The sequence below is a fragment of the Homo sapiens genome, chromosome 4, assembly GCF_000001405.40.
Source record: "Homo sapiens chromosome 4, GRCh38.p14 Primary Assembly".
NCBI lineage: Eukaryota > Metazoa > Chordata > Mammalia > Primates > Hominidae > Homo > Homo sapiens.
In genome coordinates this window covers 76,550,969-76,572,575 of record NC_000004.12, presented here as the reverse complement: position 1 = coordinate 76,572,575, position 21,607 = coordinate 76,550,969, and the positions used below count along the sequence as shown (strand labels likewise).

The following is a 21,607-nucleotide window of genomic DNA, read 5'->3' as shown; positions in this document are numbered from 1 at the left end:
TCTTTAAACTGTATATACTATTAGGATATCTGACACATCCTCTGTCCCTCACCTCCCTGGCCCACCATCATTGACCACTAAGGTTTCCTACTGACTGCACTGGGAATAGTCCTCAGGGGAAGTGTCAGTCACACAGGGAGACCTCAGGATGCCCCAGAACATGCAGGCTGCAGTGGCCAAGGTCAGCCTTTATTAAGATCACTTTCTGCCCATGACCTGAAGGTCCTGTCACCTATCACGGTATACAGTTTGTCACTGAGATTACACCATTGGGAACTCACTCCTTTAGGGTAAGATGTTGACAACCTGCAAAATTGCCCTTTAAAATATGAATAGTAACTTTATTATTCCCGTTGTATGTTAGTGCAAGATTGTATTGTTCTCAAAGGACATTTACTATTCTTAGCCATGTCAAAGATTAGCAAATCATCTCCTAGCAAGGCTCTGAGGGAGTAAGAAATGCAAAGGCAAGTTTGGATGAGGATCCAGGAAAGAGGCAGATATGGAGGAACAATTCTCAGGAAGGAAAGATTTTAGGGAGATTGGGCTGGGGGGCGCAGTATGGAGGAAGCAGAGAGAAGATGGGAGTAGCTTGAGTGCTTCATTAGGATGCTGTTAATAGCAGAGCACAAAGACAAATCTCAACTTCTTCAGAAGCTGTATTTGACCCACGTACAGCCCATCTCACAATGGACACAGAGACTTCTAGATCTATGAATAAGTACTAGTAAGACTAGTACAGAATCCTAACATCATTTATCAGGCTTCCACTATTTGGAAGAGAAATGATAAAATCTTATTGGAAGTCTCAACTATTCTCTTACAAAATAATGAATGTTACAACATTTCAGTATTAATCAGGCATTTCAACCACATAAAATCACAGAACAAACTGTGATTGGAATCAAGCTGTGGGGTTTTGCTTTGTTTTGTTTTGAAAGGAGTGTAGAAAATGATGAGCTTGTGTTCATGTCTTGGTGCACTCTAACGCCTCTGCCACTTCTCTCTTCTTGCAGTATTGTTTCTCCCATTTCTATTTTTATTGGCATGTAAACTTGCTAATGTCAAATGAGTGAGACAACACGGGAAGGCTAATTTATTTAGTGAACGTGAATCAACACTGCTGGGAAAACAAAAGGGCCCAGTGTGTGCTTTCTTTAAAGCAAAGCAAATAAAAGCATTGGCCAAGCCCAACTCCTCTTCTCCCAGAGGCTGAAGAACCCATATTGGTTCAGGGATTTCAGCAATCACTGAAAACCAGCTCAACTGAACTAGTTTTTACTGATGTAAAAGCTTGGGCTTTTGTATCAGATAGACTGGAGTTTAAATTCACACTTAACACATGTATCCCCTTGATAAGACTGCCCTCTTGCAAGTCTATCTCCTCGTCTGTAAAATAGAGTAGTAATAATCCCTATTACTGGTGTTGTGAGAAATAAATCAAAGAATGAAAATGCTTAGACACCCACCCAAAGCTAACATTTTGAGAGCTTACTAAAATTATTTATTTAAAGATAGCAGGCTAAGTTTGCAAATCAAAAATGATTCCTGTAAGTAGGATCCTAAACTGATAACAATTGGTCCACTTCTTCAGAACTTACTAGGAATCCTATGACTGTGAATGCTCAGTAATCCAGTCCAATCACCTCATGTACATTTAGTGTCAAGTGCCCCCATTCTTTGACCCCATTTCTTAATTTTAGAATGTTAATCCCAAGAAATTTTAATTCTAATACCACCCACGTAGTCTGCACACTTAGGGACTGGGACGGGAATGTGCATGAATTATTACACAGCCCTCACTGTTGCAGGGCTGTCCTGAATATAGCAAAGATAAGTTCGCCTTTTCTGAGCATTTTCTTGAAAGAGCCTAAAATTAAATTTGCAGCTAGATGATGCATTGTAAACCCACAAGTTTGCAAAGAGGAGAAATGCAAGACAGATTAAACAAAACGAAAGAAAACACGGTGAGTCTTAAATTCCTGAACATGAGCTCATGTTTATATTCATTGCTACCTCATGGAGTGACTCGGAGTTTTTGACCTCTGCCCCTGACTTTGAGACAGTGATGGAAAGGTGACGAGGAATGGCAAACAAAGGTTGAAAGGGCCTTGAATCCAAACACGGCTGGATTTTGTGGGGATGCCACCGATTGCACACCAGCCACAGCCCCAGGTTGCATTTTCTCAGGAGTTCCCACAGACTGATGTTGGTCCTCATGCCTCATCAAGTCAGCACAGTTGTTATGAAGGTGTCAGATGTGAAACTGTAAACAGAGTGACATGGAGGCCATTCCTGCTTAGTGACCTGTAGCAGAAAGGTCTATTTTTAGAAACTGCTGCAGGTTGCTCTGCCCTTGGAAAGGTGGCAGGCTGAGAAGTACTGGTGTGCGTGTGTGTGTGTGTGTGTGTGTGTGTGTTTTAACATTTCTGAGCATTTGGGTTGTGTTCTAAAATGTTTCTGAAGGAGTTCACAGAAATAAAAACCATCCCCAAACTTTATTTGAAGTAGAAAATTTGAATTTTGAACTTTACCTATATATCAAGGCCAAGGAAAGGCACGATGCTAGAGACTTTGAAGAATAACCACGGAGTTGCTCAAATGGACACTGATCTCATCCTTTTGTCTCTTACATGGGCCAATGAGGCAGGAAAGATTCATGGGGTTGACCTCACCCAGCCAGAGAAGAGCATGTCCACTCCCTTAGGGCTAGAGGCTGCAAGTTTCAGTGGGTGTTGGCATCTGTTAAAAGGCAGGCTTCCCTCAAGACAGTCTTATGTAGGAAGAGGTACAAAGGATTTGCGAGTTAAATAGACACCACAGCCGTTTTGATGCAAGTTGTCTAAAGACCACACTTTGAGGGGAAAAAAAAAAAACTGTCATAGGAAGAAAACTGGAAAACTAGGAAAACTGGAAAGATGTGTGAGAGAGAGAAGGGAGAATCATCTAACAAAACATGAACATCCCAAATTATCCATTTCCTACCACCAGTAAGAAAGAAAATATAAGATTAAGGCAAAAAGGAGCTCTGGCTTTTGGAGTTTTCTATTTTTATGTATGCCCTGAGAGAGCAGGCTTGGCTGGTGCTAGAAAACCTGACTTCTCTTCCTCATTCTGTGGTTTACTAGACCTGTGACCTGAGGCTAAGTCCTTTCATTTCTGGGTGCTTTGACCTTCATAAAGCAGGCAGCAGTTTCTCCAAAATGACCCCTCTGGAGGTCAGGAGAGGAGCCTTGCCAGTGACCTCTCACCCATCCACCCCGTACTAAAGTTTTATATCCATCGTTATTAGCAAGTCACCTTTTCCCATTGCTTTATTTCCCCCCCTGACAAATTGGATTTCGGTCTAATTTTAGTTTAACTTTCACTGGTGAGAAACGTAAGCCCCAAACCCTCCTCGGTTGGATCTGTTCTTTTACTCATAAAACAGCTAACAGTATGGAAAACTACTTAGTGAAAAATAGAAATGCCTCCATTCAGCACATATATGCTGAGAACTGGTGCCAGCACCTGCTCAATAACTATGGTTGAACTTATGAATGAGATGATTGATAACAGTGTGCCAAACCCAAGGCTGAGTTTTTTTTCTATACACAGGTTGTCTTTATGGCTACAACCTCCATATGAAGTGTGGATGGTTGTCTTTACTTCCCAGATAAAAAAGTGAGAGGTGAAGTCACTGGCCAAGATCTCACAGAACGGGCAGGGTTGTAAACCAAATTCTATCAGATTTAAAGCCAGTGCTCCTAACCGCTGCACAGCACTGCTCCCTGAGGGGTAGGAGGTGGGAGTAGTAGAAACAAATCCAAACCTCCAAATAACAAGGTGACTGCAAAGAGTACCTATTCCAGTGAGACTTGAGGAAGCTGAGGACAGAGAGAAGGGTGGGTCCTGCTACAAGAAGCACCCCTGAAGCCAGGCTCCTGGGGACCTCACTCCCGAACAAGGGCTGGGGACAGGCTACCTTACTAAGAAGATACACAGGGGCATTAAGGCAGGAGGAAATTAGGTCGATCTCATTTCACAGAGGGGAAAACAAACTTCGAATATGATCCTTCTTTGGTGGGGGATACAGGAGAAAAGTGTGGTCAGTTAAGTGATGAAACTATTGACCATATTCCATAGGGAATAGAAGGATAGTGAAGATAAGTGCAGACTGCCTGTCCAGCAGCTCTTAATGCAGGAAAAATAACTAACGCTATTTGATGATGTAATTAAAAACAGCCAAGATTTAGACAGCAATTTATTATACCCGTGAAGGGGAAACTGTTACTATCCCCACTTTACAAGTCATGAAACCATGGCACAGGGCAATTAACTTGTCCAAGGGCCCTCAGTAGTAAATGTTGTAAAGCTGAGAGGCAATGTCAGGCAGCCTGGCTTGGAGCTGGCTCACCAATATTCAGTGAGCACATTTGTGTGCCAGGAACCATTCCAAGCACTGCGGATACCACACCGAACAAAATCCCTGCCATCGAAGAACTTATATTCTAGTATGTGTGACAGAGAGACAGGTAAAAAATAAAGATTAGAAGGGTGTGAGGATACAGGAGAAAGGGGACTGCGATGTAAAATGGACTCTGCAGGGGATGCTGACATTTGAGCAAATACCTGAAGGAAGTGAGGGAGCAAGTCAGAGGGGATAATTGAGGAGATTTTTAATTTAGTTAAAAAAAAAAAACGTTCAGTACCATGTAACCACCAGTAAAAAACAATGGGTCTCTTCAATTGTTCGCTTCTTTAAGTTATGAGGGTGAAGGACATACAAAATGTGTCCTGAGAAAATTCCATGAAAGATTGTTTTAGGTGTCCAGGGCTTGTGGGCCCCTACTTATTTACAATCAAAAAATAATAGTGGCTCATCCCTAAGAGACACCTTTAAAGAAACATTCCAAAGAATCTTTTTAGTTATTTATTAATTTTTTTGAGATGGAGTCTCGCTCTGTTGCCCAGGCTGGAGTGCAGTGGCACGATCTCAGCTCACTGCAACCTCTGCCTTCCGGGTTCACGCCATTCTCCTGCCTCAGCCTCCTAAGTAGCTGGGACTACAGGCGCTCACCACGACGCCCGGCTAATTTTTTGTATTTTTAATAGAGACAGGGTTTTATCGTGTTAGCCAGGATGGTCTTGATCTCCTGACCTCATGATTCACCCGCCTTGGACTCCCGAAGTGCTGGGATTACAGGCATGAGCCACCGCACCCGGCTGAGACGGGGTTTCACCATGTTGGCCAGGCTGGTCTCGAACTCCTGACCTCAAATGATCCACCCACCTCGGTCTCCCAAAGTGCTGGAATTACAAGCATGAGCAACCGCGCCTGGCACCCAAAGAATCTTTTAAAAATGCTCCTTAGAATCACAGTCTTCATGAAAACAACATAGCAACCTTCCTACGTAAACAATAAACACACTAACCAAGCAACTGTCCCCACATGTATAATTTTACACATCCCACCCACTAAGCAAACGCAGCATCAGACTAGAGTTTGACAGCAGAATAAGAGGGGAGTAGAAAAATTGCGTTTTTCAAATGCACTGACAAACTGTACTAAGCAATCTGGCAGCTGGTCTACAGACAGCGGCACGGGCCTCTAGACTAGGTAATACAATTAAACAGACATTTTAGCTACTGGCAAAAGCACAAAGACGCTAGTCTTAGAGACATAATTTTGCCAACGACTAATGAGGCTCTTCAGAGCTGCCACATGCGAAGATGCCCAAAGCAACAGAACCATGAGGAGACAGGTGGTAAAAAATACATATTTGAGGTAGCCATCTTAATAAACAATGATCAAAGGAAAAAGAACCCACAGTTCATCTCAAGTCAGATGGAACCAGGTGTTTCTCTTTGCCTAATGAAGTCTAAGAGCCTACTACTGCTCTCAGTAACCCACAAACCTATACTTTAAGATTCTTCTCCAGGACCTTCATGGGACACTTGTGATCTTAGAGCAGTTAAATTAAATAAAACAGAAAAACAGAACAGGACAAAGCTTGCCAGGACCTTCGAAGATCTGATTTTCCATTAAGGATATGTGGAGGGGGTGGTATTTAACAATCCTTTATGGAAACCATTTCTCTACCCCTCATTCTCAAGAAATGGGGGATTTATGCTAAGGGTATACAAAGTGTGGTTTTTGAAACATGGGGGCTGATGAAATAAATGAATACAGTTGTAGCTCTGCATTCATGGGGGATTGGTTCCAGGACCCCCTCATAGGTATCAAAATCCATGGATTCTTAAGTCCCTTGTATAAAATGATGTCATATTTGCATATAACCTATACACTTCCTCCTGTATACTTTAAATCATCTCTGGATTACTTATCCTACCTAATATAATGTAAATGCTACGTGAATCACTGTTGTATTGTTTAGGGAAGAATGACAAGAAAAAAAGGCTGTACATTTTCAGTACAGATGAACCATCCATTGTTTTTTCTTGATTTTTTTTTTTTTTTTTTTTTTGAGACAGGGTTTTGCTCTGTCGCCCAGGCTAGAGTGCAGTGGCCCGATCATGGCTCACTGCAGCTTCAATCTCCTGGCTCAAGCAGTCCTTCTGCCTCAGCCTCTTGAGTAGCTGGGACTACAGGCACGCACCACCATGCCCGGCTAGTTTTTGTAGAGACAGGGTCTTGCAATGTTGCCCAGGCTGGTCTGGAGGCAGACCTGGACTCAAGGGATCCTCCTGCCTCGGCCTTCCAAAGTGCTGGGATTATAGGGATTACTGCACCCAGCCTTTTTCTTGAGGCGCTTTTAAAGTTTCCAATACAGGGCTACACCCCCACATCTATTAAATTAGACTCTCTGAGGCTGGACTTGGAGGTTCACGCCTGTAATCCCAATACTCTGGGAGGTCCAAGGTGGGAATCATTTGAGACCAGTCTGGGCAACAAAGCGAGACTCTGTCTACAAAAAATAAAAAAATTATCTGGGTGTGGTGGTGTGCACCTGTAGTCCCAGCTACTCCGGAGGCTGAAGTAGGAGGATCACTTGATCCCAGAAGGTCAAGGCTGTGTTCATGCCACTGCACTCCAGCCTGGGCAACAGAGTAAGATCTTGTCTCAAAAAACAAGTAAAATAAAATAAATTAGAATTTCTGGAGGTAGGAGCCAGGAATTAGTTTGTTGTTGTTATTGCTGTTTTAAAACTCCCTTGGTAATTCCAATGTGTAGCCCAATTTAAGAAGGAGTAGCTTTAAGCCATTTTGATTCAAGTATTCAGAGTTCCAAATATTTGGTTCATCTTCTAAATGGGACTCATCCAAACTTACCTGTCCTAGCTGATGCATCCAAATTTAAAACTGGGGGGAAAGATTCCACCATAACTTTTATTTGATCTCAGAACTCAGACCTCATATCCTAAAGGCTCAGACAGATATTTGAGTGCCATTCTTTTTTTTTTTTTTTTTTTTTTGAAATGGAGTCTCGCCCTGTCACCCAGGCTGGAGTGCAATGGTGCAATCTCAGCTCACTGCAACCTCCGCCTCCTGGGTTCAAGCGATTCTCCTGCCTCAGCCTCCCTAATAGCTGGGATTACAGGCACCCACCACCACACCCGGCTAATTTTTTGTATCTTTAGTAGAGATGGGGTTTCACTATGTTGGCCAGGCTGGTCTCGAACTCCTGACCTCATAATCTGCCAGCCTCAGCCTCCCAAAGTGCTGGGATTACAGGCATGAGCCACCGCACCCAGCCTTGAGTGCCATTCTTTAATGGTGCATTCATTAATTCTTTAATGGTATAGAAGGTTGGCTCCTGTCTGGAATACATTTGTCTGAAGTAAAGCTGTGCTAGCCCAAGAATGAAATGTGGTCTTTTATCATCAAACCTCCTTCACTAGGAACAATAGAACATTCCTTTGTATGAAGCTAGTGTTTAGTGCATAGCCAGTAAGCATATGTAACCCATTGAATAAAAATAGCAGTTATCATTATGTGCTACGGGGGAAAAAGATGTCCCCTTCCTCATTACAGTAAGGGAGTCTTATTGCATACCTCTCAGGAAACCTAATAATGTGTTACATGAATTTTCCATGGGAAGGAACAACTGGTTAGGAAATAAAATACTATACTTCTATACAGTGACATTCAAGCCTAGAAGTCCAAAGAAGCCGAAAACTGCTCTGAGAATGGTCCCAGCAGGATTGAAATACCTCCTCAAAGCATACTGAGCAAATTTCCATGATGCCAGGCCTCTTGGAAAAGTTTCTGGGGGTCAGAGGCCACTGCAGCTGCCTCCTTCCTCTCCTCTCAACCACTTGCTCAAGTGGAAAAAATGTTTAGAAGGGTAAGTTACCACAGTTCTCAGTTATACTGATCTCCCCTCTAGGGAAGTCTCATCCTGGGTGCAAACGGAAGTGCAGTTTGGGATTTGTACTCATGTCCCAGGCATCTGCCAGCCCTTTGCCCAAATTAAGAACTTCAAAGAGCAGATGACCAGGATGAGTGAAGTAATGAAGGGAGAGCAGAGCGGGGCATGGGAGGGTGGTCACAGCTCTTCAGGAGACATGTGGAGGTGAGAGGTAACATTTCAGACACGAGACGCTCCTAACACAGAACCATAGAGTGGTACTGCCTGCCATGCTGGCTGCCACTTCAGCTCCTGTGCTTTCCTCCTGTGGCACGTGGTGGGGACACACTGCCTTCCTGCCCCTTCATACAGGAGTTAACCACAGAGCACAGCATCGGGCCTTTTTTTGTGTCTTGAAAGTCAGTTCTTGGAACTTACCATGGCACAGAAATATTTCTCATTTGTCTTCTGTGTCCAGGAGAGGTAGAGGAAGCCACACTTTTATGCACAGAGGTGAGTTCCTTGAGCTTCAAGACCAGTTTTGCAATTGCCTATAAAAAGGTCACTGCACCTTTTCTGTTTGTCCTCACCTCCCACTGCCTGCCCACTTGATAGTTATCTTTTGATGTCATAACTTTCCCAGAGGCAGCATATTGTGCTGTCTAAAGAACATTATGTTTTCAAATTGCTCAGCCTGGGTCACATGTGCCTATATAACCTGACCAGTCCTTGGAACAAAAAAACACCAGATGGTGCAAATACACTTGCGTAGAGAGCCCCTTCCTGCAATCCGAGCTTCCTCTCCTGGAGCTCAACCTTCCACCAATGAGCTTCAACATGGTTCAAAGTTAGAACTCTTTCAACTTACGTTCGCCAGAGAATATGGCCTTTTTTACAAAATCCCATTCTGAACTTGGGCCTAGTTGGTACTGTCCTTTAAAGCCACATTTCCTCTTAGCAGAAAGGTTATAATCAGAAGCTTTAAAACCTATGTGTTCTCATTTACAAAAATGAGTCAAATCAGTGCCATTAAATAGAGCAATCATCAGAGAATGTGGTCAGGTAACTTTTCATGAGACTGTACAATAGAAGCTCCTTATGAAATAAAGATTAATATTTTACTATGATGAAACATTTTATATATACTATCTTATTTCATCCTTATAGCAACTCAGTATGGAACTGTTCTCCTCCATTTTAAGAAGAAATTTAGTCTTAGAGAGATTGAGTAGCACCGTGGTATGATGGCCAGACCACAGCAGAACTGAGACTGGAATCCAGATGATATAATGTCTTCCTCATGCTGTTTGCAATTTCATATCTGAGAATTGGCACCTTCGTGCTACACAATCTGGCTTGCAGATTGTCAATTTATAAGAAAAAAATATGCTTTTTATGTTCTAGAAAAGTTTCAACCCTTCCTGTCAACTTTATTGCCTTAAAAATAGGGAGTTCTGTTCCATTTGCTTTTAAAGCTTTTAATAAATTGCTTCTTTAAACTGCTTTAAAAGAGTCAGAAAGAGACATCAGGTGGTTAATCTCAAACTGCTTTAAGAATGTAGATGCTTTTTCAGGAAATAGAGTCAGGCAGGTGAGGGGGTGGAGAGGTGGCAAAACAGTGTGAAGGAAGTGAGGAGGTGGTAGTGAAAATATTCCAAGAAATTATTTTCTTTTATAAACTGTAACCATGAGCTGGAAAAGGCACTGATTTGCACAACCCTTTTTATTAATAGCTAATAGAGTTAATTTTGTATCCTTTCAGAGGACTTAAAAAAGTTCATTACAAAGTATTTCTTTTAAGATCATTGACTTGCAAATCCTGGGTGAGTTACAGTCTTGCAATTCAATCTAGAAATATAAGGTCACAGAAATCTGACACTGAGGTAGCAAGTGTGTCAGCCAACCATCCCATTCCATTCTAATAATGTCATCTCACTAGTTTATAAAAAGAAACTATTCTGTTAACCCTCAGAAACATGGGACGGTGAATTCGGGGGAGTGTGGGCCCAAGGGTCTTGGTGAACTTAATTTCATCACCATTTTTGTTAGGAGGGAGGAAGCAGCCACTAATGCAGCCCAGAGTTTCATTTCCAGAGGCTGCTGCAGAGACTCAAGTCTGCTGGGCATCCAAAGTAGTCCGGTGCATTTCCTTCCCAAAGGAAGTTCAAGGTCAATGGGGAATCACCTCTTCATTCAAAATGTTTTCTTAGATGAATCAAACATAAGCTTCTTTGTTTTTTTATTGTTTTGAGGGTTTTTTTTGTTTTGTTTTTTGAGACAGAGTTTCGCTCTTGTTGCCCAAGCTGGAGTGCAATGGCGGGATCTTGGCTCACCGTAACCTCCGCCTCCCAGGTTCAAGCGATTCTTCTGCTTCAGCCTCCCGAGTAGCTGGGATTACAGGGGCACGCCACCTCTCCTGGACAATTTTTTGTATTTTTAATAGAAACGGGGTTTCACCATGTTAGCCAGGCTGGTCTCGAACTCCTGACCTCAGGTGACCTGCCTGCCTTTGCCTTCCAAAGTGCTGGGATTACAGACGTGAGCCACCATGCCCGGCCTTGTCTTTTGTCTCTCTCTCTTTTTTTTTTTTTTTTTTTTTAGCATCACAGATATTTCTAAAAGGAGGAGGCAGTGGAATAGAAAGCACTAGTTCATGATTTCACTGCTTGAGGGGCCAAAAGTCCCTAAGACTTACATCCTCGAAGAACTAGACTCTTATTTTGGCCACTAGTATGTGGCCTTGGACAAGTCCTTACCTATTTTTGGATGCATTTCCCTCATTTCTACCTCCAGGCAGAGACTCAAGGGCTGAAAGTCTTAAGACCTAGATTCTCACTCTAGCCTAGATTCTCACGCTAGCCACCTCTACATGGGCAAGTCATATAGCCTGGCATATACATATTTTAGGCAGATGTTTATTGTTTTTTACTTTTTCAATGCTGCTTTCTCCTCAATCTCTCTTTTCCCAGCAAAATGTGATCTACCACTGATACTACTACTACTAGTACTACTAAACACGTATATTCAGCCAAATAAAAAAGAATTGTTTCCTTCCAACACATCAACTCATAGAATAAATTGATGGGAAGGGGAAAGGTTACATCAAACTTGCAGAGGTGATGGAAAGCTTTGGGAGGAAGATTCCATTTTGAAAAGGGGCTCAATTTTCCCTACCCTCTGCTCTCTTTGATGCCCAGAAAGATAATTTCCCCACCAAAGTCTTCCCATTAACTAGGACTTCATATGCTGTGTTCTAGAGATTAAGGTGGAACTTGTCAAAGAGATAATTTACTTAACAAATATGCAACTTGTTTTCAGTAGATTCATGATTTAATAACTGTACTAAATACCATACCCACATGATTCTTATTTAATCCTCACAACAATTTTGTGAGGCAAAAATCAGACAGATTAAATTACTTGCCCAAGGTCACAAAGCTAGTGCCTATGCCATCAGACTTCAAACCCAGGCAGTCTCAAATCTGGTAGTGCTGGACACCGCTATCTCAGGTATCCTCTCTGACTTTTGCCTGGCTTGCATAGCATTATAAAAAAGTACGAAATATTTGAAATGAAATATACTCAAGTTTTTCTTTGCCAACTACAAGTAAAAACACAAAAAATTCACTTACAACAAATTTAGGAGTAGGATAGTATTTGGCAAAAATAGCACCTCCAGCTTTCTTTTGATTAATGAAGGATTAATAAGTAAATAAACAAAATAAATAGCACCTTAATGCAGAAGGTTGGAAGGTTAGATTTGCCAAGGAAAATGGAGAAAAGATCAGAATTGGGATTAAGGATTCATTGATTCTAAGGCCATTCTGATAATCCAATTCAGGATAGGAGTCTGAGTCTGAACTCAGGGTAAAAATATGTATTTATATGAATACACAGCAATTAACCCCAGCAATCTGTTCTGGAGGTCAAATATAGCTTCCTATTTTTTAAATTCAAGTTTTAGATTATCTACAAATAGCAGTGAGCATTCCTTATACTAAACGCAACTTCCATTACCCTCAGGGATGATAAATTAAACCTGAAGACCCTTTCCTTTGTCAGTTTCCATTTTAAAGGTTACCCGATCCCTGGACAACTATTTTACACGTATCTACCAGATAAAGTCTCTGTTGATTTCAGGGAGGATTTGGAGTATGATTCTCATTCGTGTCCATGTCTGCTTTCCTAATTAACATCCTTTGCACTGTCCTTGCATTCCACAAGGGTTTTCTGCAACTGGGAGCTGTTTATTTTCCTTTGGGAATGTTTTTTCTCTGACCCACTTATTATTTTATCATTTCTTCTCCATTTATCCACTACTAGCTGTTAACCTTCACTCTTCGTGTATCAAGCAGCAGACACATGCTCTGTTGTTGCAGCGTCCACAGCGCCTCCTTCACGCCCTCCTCCCAGAGAGGGCTAAACTCTGCCTTCTTTATGGGTCAGCAGATCTTTGAAAGTCTTTGACCCACAACTTACTTGAGGCTTTGCATTTTTCTTGTCACTGTAGCCTTTTAAGAAGGTGTTTCTACTTTTTATTGTTTTTGGTCACTGGGTAAGACAATCCCAAAACTTATATAAACACTATTACCCTGCTCTGTGTTCTTGGCATTTTTATGATGGATGTGAAAGCCTGACATGAGGTGCCGCCCTCGCCCAGCCAAAATAACTTTAAGAGAAAAAGAGGCAGGTACATGGCTGCCAAAATATACATTTTGACTACACAAATGATTTATTCATGAAACAGACATTCCTTCCTATTATGTTTCCAGGAAGACACCCCAGTCTTTTTTAAAGTATAGAGATCACATAGAAAAAAAGAAAGTTAATAAATGAAATGTCCTTAGTCACTCTGGCATCAATAAATCAAAGGAAACAGAATCTCAGGACGATGACGTGTGCCAAGGTATAAAGGTAAGACTTCTCAGGAAAGTGACGGCACTACGAAATACAAAGCCAGATTAATCCAGCGCAAAGAGGCTTCTACCCGGATCTCTGCAAGGTAGGGGAGGAATGTCCATCCATGTCTCTGGAGGCGTGTTGATAATCCCCATCTATAAGCATGTGTCAGATGTAAAGGCAGCCTCCTTTTCCTTTGAAAGTTCAACTATAAAAATCAACACATAATAGATGAGATAAGACATATTCAAAAGGCATCTTAGGGACAAAATGTTTCCCACACCAGAAGCAGAAAGTGCAAGAACTGCTCAGTAACCTTATCGATTGCATTAGCATACGTAAAGAAAGAATGTGTCAATCAGGAAGAGGATTTGGTGTTGACGAGAATGAAAATGGAGAGGAGAACGTTGGCAGCATGATTCCCTGGGGCCCAGAGGGGAAAGGGCCCTTGCTTCTGGATGTGAATCTCTGGCCGCCTGGCAGCCAAGCCCCTATTAGGAAGATGGACCATCTGGCCATCAGAGTGGATCCTAGCAAATACTGGTGCCTACAGAACTATTCTCTTCACTTGGAGTTGGAAATCACTATGCAAACTCCTGACCATAATTAGACTTCCCATTTAGTTTTCTTGTAGGGATAAAGTACTATATACTGGTTTTTGGTCCATATGGCATACTTTTCACTTATAGTTGTCTTTTCCAAAATGAGTCAGTGTAGTAGCATTCTGGTTTATATCCTTCAGTTTCTTGTGATTTGGATACTGTGAATTAACACTCCTAAATTCCACAAGGTCTGAGACAGTCATGACCAATTCTGGACCTGTAAGCTGGGTACTAGCCCTTAAATGGTTGTAAACTCACTAAGAGAATGAAAGGGGGGGCCTCCAGATAACCAGGGAACCAGCATATATGGTATTATGGCAATACTTCTCCATATTAGCATGTGTCACATCTCTCTAGCCTAATCCAGAATAATAATAATCAAATATTGCATATCCACTGTGTACTTACACTTACTTCACTAATGCCCTTTCAAGGTAAGAATGATTATTTCCATTTCACAAATGAGGAAACTGGGGCTTAGAGAGCCCAAAGTCACACAATTTGCAAATAACCAGACCAGATTTCAACCCCATATCTGTCTGTTTCCAAAGGTTCTACTAGAAGAAGTAATTCAAATCTTATATCACCATCTATTAGAAGGCCTACCAGAAGCCACCATGATTATTCTTCATAGCAGGAAACAGAGCAGCCCTTTCCAGAGGCCAATCTATCACCACAGTCATGTTGAAACACATCAGGAGTGTGGATTCTGCCATTAGTACCCAACAGATCAATGCCCAGTGTTTCCAAACTGGGCTCCTGGGTTCCAATGCCAAGGTGAGTTCAAAACCTTCAGCACTCTCTGGACACAAGGAATGGCCCCATGGTTCTGAGCTTGTCTACCCATCTGTTTGAAACATCAGCCCCATGTTTGAGATGACTGCTTACTTTACTGAAATCTGGATCTGCAAGGAATGAGCCTATGCCTAGAGTTGGCCAATAATAATAGAAATAATAGCAGCAGCATCTCTTGTTACCTCAGAGTGTTTCATCTAATCTTTCCAATCACTTTGTAAAGTATGTTGGATTGCCCAAGTATAATTGCCAAAAATTGCATATATTCAAAGTGTACAATGTGATGATTTGATATATGTACACACTGTGTCATGATTACCACAATCAAAAATCAAATTAATCAACACACAGTTACCTGTGTGTGTGTATAGTGAGGACACTTAAGATCTATTCTCATAGCAAATTTTAAGTAAACAATACAGTATTACTAACTGTAGTCACCATGTTTTACCTTAGGTCCCCAGAACTTATTCATCTTATAACTAAAAGTTTGTACCCCTTGACCAACATCTCCCCATTTCCCCTGTGCCCCAGTCCCTGGCAAACACCATTCTACTCTCTGTTTCTGTGAGTTTGACTTTTTTATACACCATGTATAAGTGAGAAGATACAGTTTTTACGGTTCTGTGACTGGCTTCTTTCACTTAACAAAATGTCCTCCAGGTTCATCTACATTGCTGCAAATGGCAAGATTTCCTTCTTTTTTTATGGCTGGATAATATTCCTCGTGTGTGTGTGTGTGTGTGTGTGTGTGTGTGTGTGTATACATAAACATATACATATATACACCACATTTTCTTTGGTTTGTCCCTCCATGGATACTTAGATTGTTGCCATATTTTGGCATAAATACATATATTTAAATCCTCATTTAAAGATGAGGATATTGAATTTTCAGTGAGGTTAAGTAATTTGGCCAAGCTCACACAGCTAACAGGTGACAGCCCTGGAATTTGAACCCGGGTCTGTCTGAATCCGGTGCCTATGCTTTGAGCCACTCTGCATCACTGACCACCAGAGAAGCAATTGCTGGTTGATGGCCCTGTAGACAGACCAGACACAGCCCAGCACACTAGGGAGAGTCACTAGAGCCTGGAGACACAGTGGGACCACAGTCATCGCTGTGTTTTTTGTGGCTGGGAGGAGCTGCTGTTCCCCTGAGCATGGGCTCACTTAGGAAACATTTGAGAAATGAATTAATGCAGGTCTTTAAGAGGCCATCTGTGGCATGATGGAAGACCAGCTTACTTTCTACAGCCTGAAAATGGTGGGGCTTCATTGATGACTCCTGAAGTCTCAGCCAACTAGAACATTCTTAAATACTGTAACATTAGCTGCTATGTGAGGCAGCTGAAATCTAAGGAAGAAATATTCAAATATGCAAAATATTTGGGCCTAGCGCTTAGCAGGTCAAGATAATGATGCTCAAGTGGCATGAAATAGAATCAGGCAATCTGGATTCTATTCTGGCTTTTCAACTTATCAGCTTGGCTACCTCCAGTAACCTATTTAATCTCTTGCCTGTAAAATGGGGATAGTGATTAGCTATCTCATGGGGTTCATGTGCAGATTAAATGAGCTAAGATGTGTAAAATGTCTCAAGCAGTGCTTACTAATAGAGATCAAAAAAATAATTCAATTCCCATCCCCTTTCCATAAATAATTTCCTCCACGAAGGGTTGGTTCCCGGGAGTACAAAGCTTCTGATGCTAAGGCATTAAAATCAAACACAACCCAACACTTTCCCAACAGAGGAATCACCACTATTGAGACCAGAAAACAAAACAACCAATGAGAGAATTTGCCTGTTTTGAAGAACCCTGTGATGCAGGTGTGGTTCCCAAAATGCCACTGAAAGCTCCAAGCCAATTTCTTTCTCTAGTCCCACCAGACAAAAAGCTTATTAGAGCTCTGACCGCATCTGGGATGAGTGTCACTTTTCATCAGGTCCCAAAATTTAGGTAGTCCAGTGAGGTCTATCCCTGACAAACCAGTACCTGCTGGGAAATGAGTGTTCTGAAAGACAGCAGTGTCTGAAATGTCTTCACCCCACTTCCTCCCCACATCCCACAAGATAGGAAAGAAAAAAGAAAAAAAGGCAGGATCCATACATGGAGGTTTAAAGCCAAGCTACCAACCCCGAGCTCTTTTCCCAGAGGTGGGGTAGGGTAGGGAGAGAGGTGGGGTGAGGTGGTAGGAGGGACAGGGTGGGGGTCTGCCACCTACCTGCGCACTACCAGCCTGAGGGTCTTGTAGGATCCTTTCACCAGGGAAACTGCCTCCTTTCTGGAGCTGCTCAGAGTCACCTCATTGATGTGCACAACCTCATCCCCAGCCTGCAGTTTGGAGCTCAGGGTGTCTGCTTTGCCCCCTTCTTCGACCTGCTTGGAGGGAGAGATGCGACAGCCACGAGTGAGCTTTCCCCTGGCCTGGGGTCTGTCCGGCTATCCCGAGCCCAGCTTAGACTCCTGCAGAGCCCAACGGACCAGCTAGGGCCACACCCCAGCGCTTGCAGCCAGAGGGAAAACTGTGAGAGCGCAGGGACTGGCTCTGGGTGTCCACACCCTCAAGAACCAGCACCCTGCCTGCCCAGGGAGGGCGCCCTTAAACATCAGCTGAATGAACGACAGAACTCAGTTTCCATCCAAAGGCCATTATCCCACGGTGCTCAGGACATCTCCCCAGCCCTTGCTTTACATCTTCAAAAAGTCCACTCAGGGCAACTGTTTTATCCCTTTAGAAGAGCAGTCCCCAAACTTTTTGGCACCAGGGACCAGTTTTGTGGAAGACAATTTTTCCACGGATGGGGTGTGGGCGGATGGTTTTGGCGTGGTTCAAGTGCGTTGCATTTATTGTGCACTTTATTATTTTTTCATTATAACATATAATGAAATAATTATACAACTCAGCATAACATAGAATCAGCGGAGCCCTGAGCTTGTTTCCCGCAACTAGATGGTCCCACTGGGGGCGATGAGAGATAGTGACAGATCTTCAGGCATTAGATTCTCATAAGGAGTGTGCTACCTAGATCCCTCGCATGTGTAGTTCACAATAGGGTTCGGGCTCCTGTGAGAATCTAATGCTGCCACTGATCTTACAGGAGGCAGAGCTCGGGTGGTTATGTGAGCAATGGGGAGCAGCTGTAAATACAAATGAAGCTTCACTTACTCATCCACTCCTACTGTGCGGCCTGGTTGCTAACAGACCACTGTAATGGTCCGTGGCCTGGGGGTTGGGGACGGGTTACATTAGAAGTTGAGTTCCTCTGGCCGGGTACGGTGGCTCATGCCTGTAATCCCAGCACTTTGGGAAGCTAAGGCTGGCAGATCACAGGGTCAGAAGATCGAGACCATCCTGGCTAACACGGTGAAACCCCATCTCTACTAAAAATACAAAAAAATTAGCCAGGCATGGTGGCAGGCACCTGTAGTCCCAGCTACTCAGGAGGCTGAGGCAGGAAAATGGCATGAACCCAAGAGCCGACGCTTGCAGTGAGCTGAGATCACGCCACTGCACTCCAGCCTGGGTGACAGAGTGAGACTCCGTCTCAAAAAAAAAAAAAAAAAACACAAACAAAAAACAACAAAAAAAAGTTGTGTTCCTCTTACCTTACTTTTTGTTCTAAAATTATAATTCATTGGATACATAAAGTAGTACATTCAGACAATGGAATATTATTCAGCACTGAAAAGAAATGAGCTATCAAACCATGAAACAACATGAAGGAAACTTAAAATGCATATTTCTAAGTGAAAGAAGCCAGTCTGAAAAGGCTACATACCACACAATTTCAAGTGTATGACATTGTAGGAAAGGCAAAACTAGGGAGGCAGTAAAAAGATCAGCAGTGGCTGAGGTTAAAGGGAAGGGTAGGATGAATATGGTGGCACAGAATATTTTAGGGCAGTGAAACCATTCGATATGATATTGTAGTGGTGGACACATGCCTTGTACATTTGTCAAAACCCATAGAATGTACAGCACCAAGAGTGAACCTACTATAAACTATGGGTGACAGGAGATGTCCATGTAGGTTCATCAGTTGTAATAAATGTATCACTCTGGTGCAGGATTTTGATAGTGGGGGAGGCTATGTGTATGTGTGGGCAGCAGATACATGGGAAATATCTGCACCTTCCATTCGTCTTTTTTTTATGAACCTAATATTGCTCTTAAAAAATAAATACGCTGGCTGGGCACAGTGGCTCACGCCTGTAATCCCAGCACTTTGGGAGGCTGAGGCAGGTGGATTTGGATTGCCTGAGCTCAGGAGTCCAAGACCACCCTGCGCAATGTGGTGAAACCCTGTCTCTACTAAAAATACAAAAATTAGACGGGTGTGGTGGCACACACCTGTAATCCCAGCTAGTTGGGAGGCTGAAGTGGGAGAATCGCTTGAAACCACGAGGTGGGCCTCGTGCGGTGTCTCATGCCTGTAATCCTAGCACTTTGGGAGGCCGGGGTGGGTGGATCACCTGAGGTCAGGAGTTCGAGACCAGCCTGGCCAACATGGTGAAACCCCGTCTCTACTAAAAACACAAAAATTAGCTGAGTGTGGTGGTGCATGCCTGTAATCCCAGCTACTCGGGAAGCTGAGGCAGGGAAATCATTTGAACCTGGGAGGTGGAGGTTGCAGTGAGCAGAGATCATGCCACTGCACTTCAGCCTGGGTGATAGAGCGAGACCCCGTCTCAAAAAAAATAAATAAATAAAAGAGAAAAGAAAAGAAACCAGGAGGTGGAGGTGCAGTGGGCCGAGATTGCATCACTGCTCTCCACTCCAGTCCAGCCTAGGCGACAGAGCGAGACTCTGTCTCAAAACAAAACAAAACAAAACAAAAATGTCCTGCACTATTATTCAGTCAACAAAGTTATTCAACACCTGCTTTACATCAGAAATTTTTCCAAGTGCTTGGGCTATAAAAGTGGACAAAATAGACAAAAACCTTTTGATCTTCTGATGCTTAAGTTAATGGGCAGAGGAGGGGAAGCAAACAATAAACATAATAAACAAGTAAGTAATGTAGTACGTTAGAAATTAATCATATGCTTTGGAAACAGGAAAATAAGGCTCGATCTGGGTCACATGCCAATGGATACTTATAGACGTCAATAACAATGAAAGGGAAGTAAAGGGGAAAACAAAAACAAAACCTGAGTAAACAAAACCTCACCCATATTTTCTCTTTTTTTAGTAATTACTCTCCAGAATTGCCCACATGTTCAAAAACCTTCAATAGGTCTCAAGATACATAAAATAGACCAAGCAATTATATATATACATATATTACATATACAAATTATATGCAGACATAGCTACATACATATATAGATATCTATATATATGTATATGTATATAGCAAACATAATGAGGAATGTATATGTATATAGATATATGTATATACATATATAATTGCTTGGTATGTCTATATACATATATTATATAATTGATATATCTATATACATATATAGATATTTTGGGAGACAGACTCTTGCTCTGGTGCACAGGCTGGAGTGCAGTGGCACAGTCTTGGCTCACTGCAACCTCAGCCTCCTGGGTTCAAGCAATTCTCCCATCTCAGCCTTTTGAGTAGCTAGGACTATAGGCGTGTGCCAACAGGTCTGGCTAATTTTTGTATTTTTTGTAGAGATGGGCTTTTGCTGTGTTGCCTGGGCTGGTCTTGAACTCCTGGGCTCAAGTGATCCTCCCACTTTGGCCTCCCAAAGTGGTGAGATTACAGGCATGAGCCACTGTGCCTGGCCAATATATACTATTTTAATATATATAAAATAGCTTTTATTTTATAAATAACAATTAAAAATTTAGGCCAGGCGCAGTGGCTCATGCCTGTAATCCCAGCAATTTAGGGGGGCCGAGGCGGGCGGATCACAAGGTCAGGAGATCGAGTCCATCCTGGCTAACACGGTGAAACCCCGTCTCTACTAAAGATACAAAAAATTAGCCGGGCGTGATGGCGGGCGCCTGTAGTCCCAGCTACTCGGGAGGCTGAGGCAGGAGAATGGCGTGAACCCAGGAGGCAGAGCTTGCAGTGAGCCGAGATCGCACCACTGCACTCCAGCCTGGGTGACAGAGCGAGACTCTGTCTCAAAAAAAAATAATAATAATAATTCTTCTTTTTCCCATTTTCAGATAATCAAGTGGACAAAATAATATATAAATGTAAAGTGACATCTAATAGTTTATTATTTTTATACTGCTTGAACTTGCTGCTGTGGTTACACACCCTGAATTTCAGCAAAGCTATTTATGTCTATGTCTGTTCCCCACTCACAGTCCCACCCCTCCCCACCTTGGACTGTGAAGTTATTGAAGAGACTTCATGAGAAATCATGACTCCATCCTTTCCTCCCCCAGCATGCCTCTCCAGAGCTTTGCACACAGGACCTACTCAGAAAATATTGGTTCGTTCATTCAATAAATATTTATGAACAGCCACTACTGTGGTCAGCTATGGTGCTAAAAGCTGCGAGTACAGTGATGAACACTGTAGATACGGTCTTGCTCATGTTGCAGTTTGTGAAATTGCATCCCTTCAGTATTATTTGCCAACAATTTCAACGAAATGAGACCTAGGAAACAATCAATTTCTTATATTAAAAAAGGAAGTCAAGAAAGCTCATTTGTATAGTTTATATCATGTCCTCATGACTGATTTGATGTGAAAGCAAACATTATGGGGAAGACTGTCATAAAGAGTTTCATTGTTGTTCACTGTTCTTATAAACTATTTCTTTAACCTTTTGTATTTACAGAGTTCCTCACAATCTCTTCGTTTTGCACTGCACTTTTAGAATTAGCCGGATGTGGTGGCACATGCCTGTGGTCTCAGCTATGCAGGAGGCTGAGGTGGGAGGATCGCTTGGGCCCAGGAGGTTGAGGTTGCAGTGAGCCAAGATTGCACCATTTCATTCCAGTCTGGGCAACAGAGGGAGACCCTGTCTCGAAAAAAAATTCATCCTAGCCCCCAAGTGAGGGTTCTCTCTCTGCTGCTCAAGCT

At 42.5% G+C, this 21,607-nt stretch overlaps 1 protein-coding gene across 1 annotated transcript in view, besides 1 other annotated feature; it reads right to left on the bottom strand.

Annotated features, from left to right (window-relative positions):
* The window catches only part of SHROOM3 (shroom family member 3), a 348,025-nt gene that overhangs the window by 210,678 nt on the left and 115,740 nt on the right, over positions 1-21,607 (bottom strand). Inside the window, exon 2 of the mRNA NM_020859.4 lies at positions 16,813-16,967. Within this exon, the coding sequence (NP_065910.3) occupies positions 16,813-16,967 (155 nt within the window). The remainder of the gene's footprint in view (positions 1-16,812; positions 16,968-21,607) is intronic.
* Positions 13,235-13,866: an enhancer, noted in NCBI's record as "OCT4-NANOG hESC enhancer chr4:77479863-77480494 (GRCh37/hg19 assembly coordinates)". NCBI's record gives its function as "activates a minimal SCP1, AML or CMV promoter by ChIP-STARR-seq in naive H9 embryonic stem cells {active_cell/tissue: H9 hESC(naive)}" and the evidence as "EXISTENCE:reporter gene assay evidence [ECO:0000049][PMID:30033119]".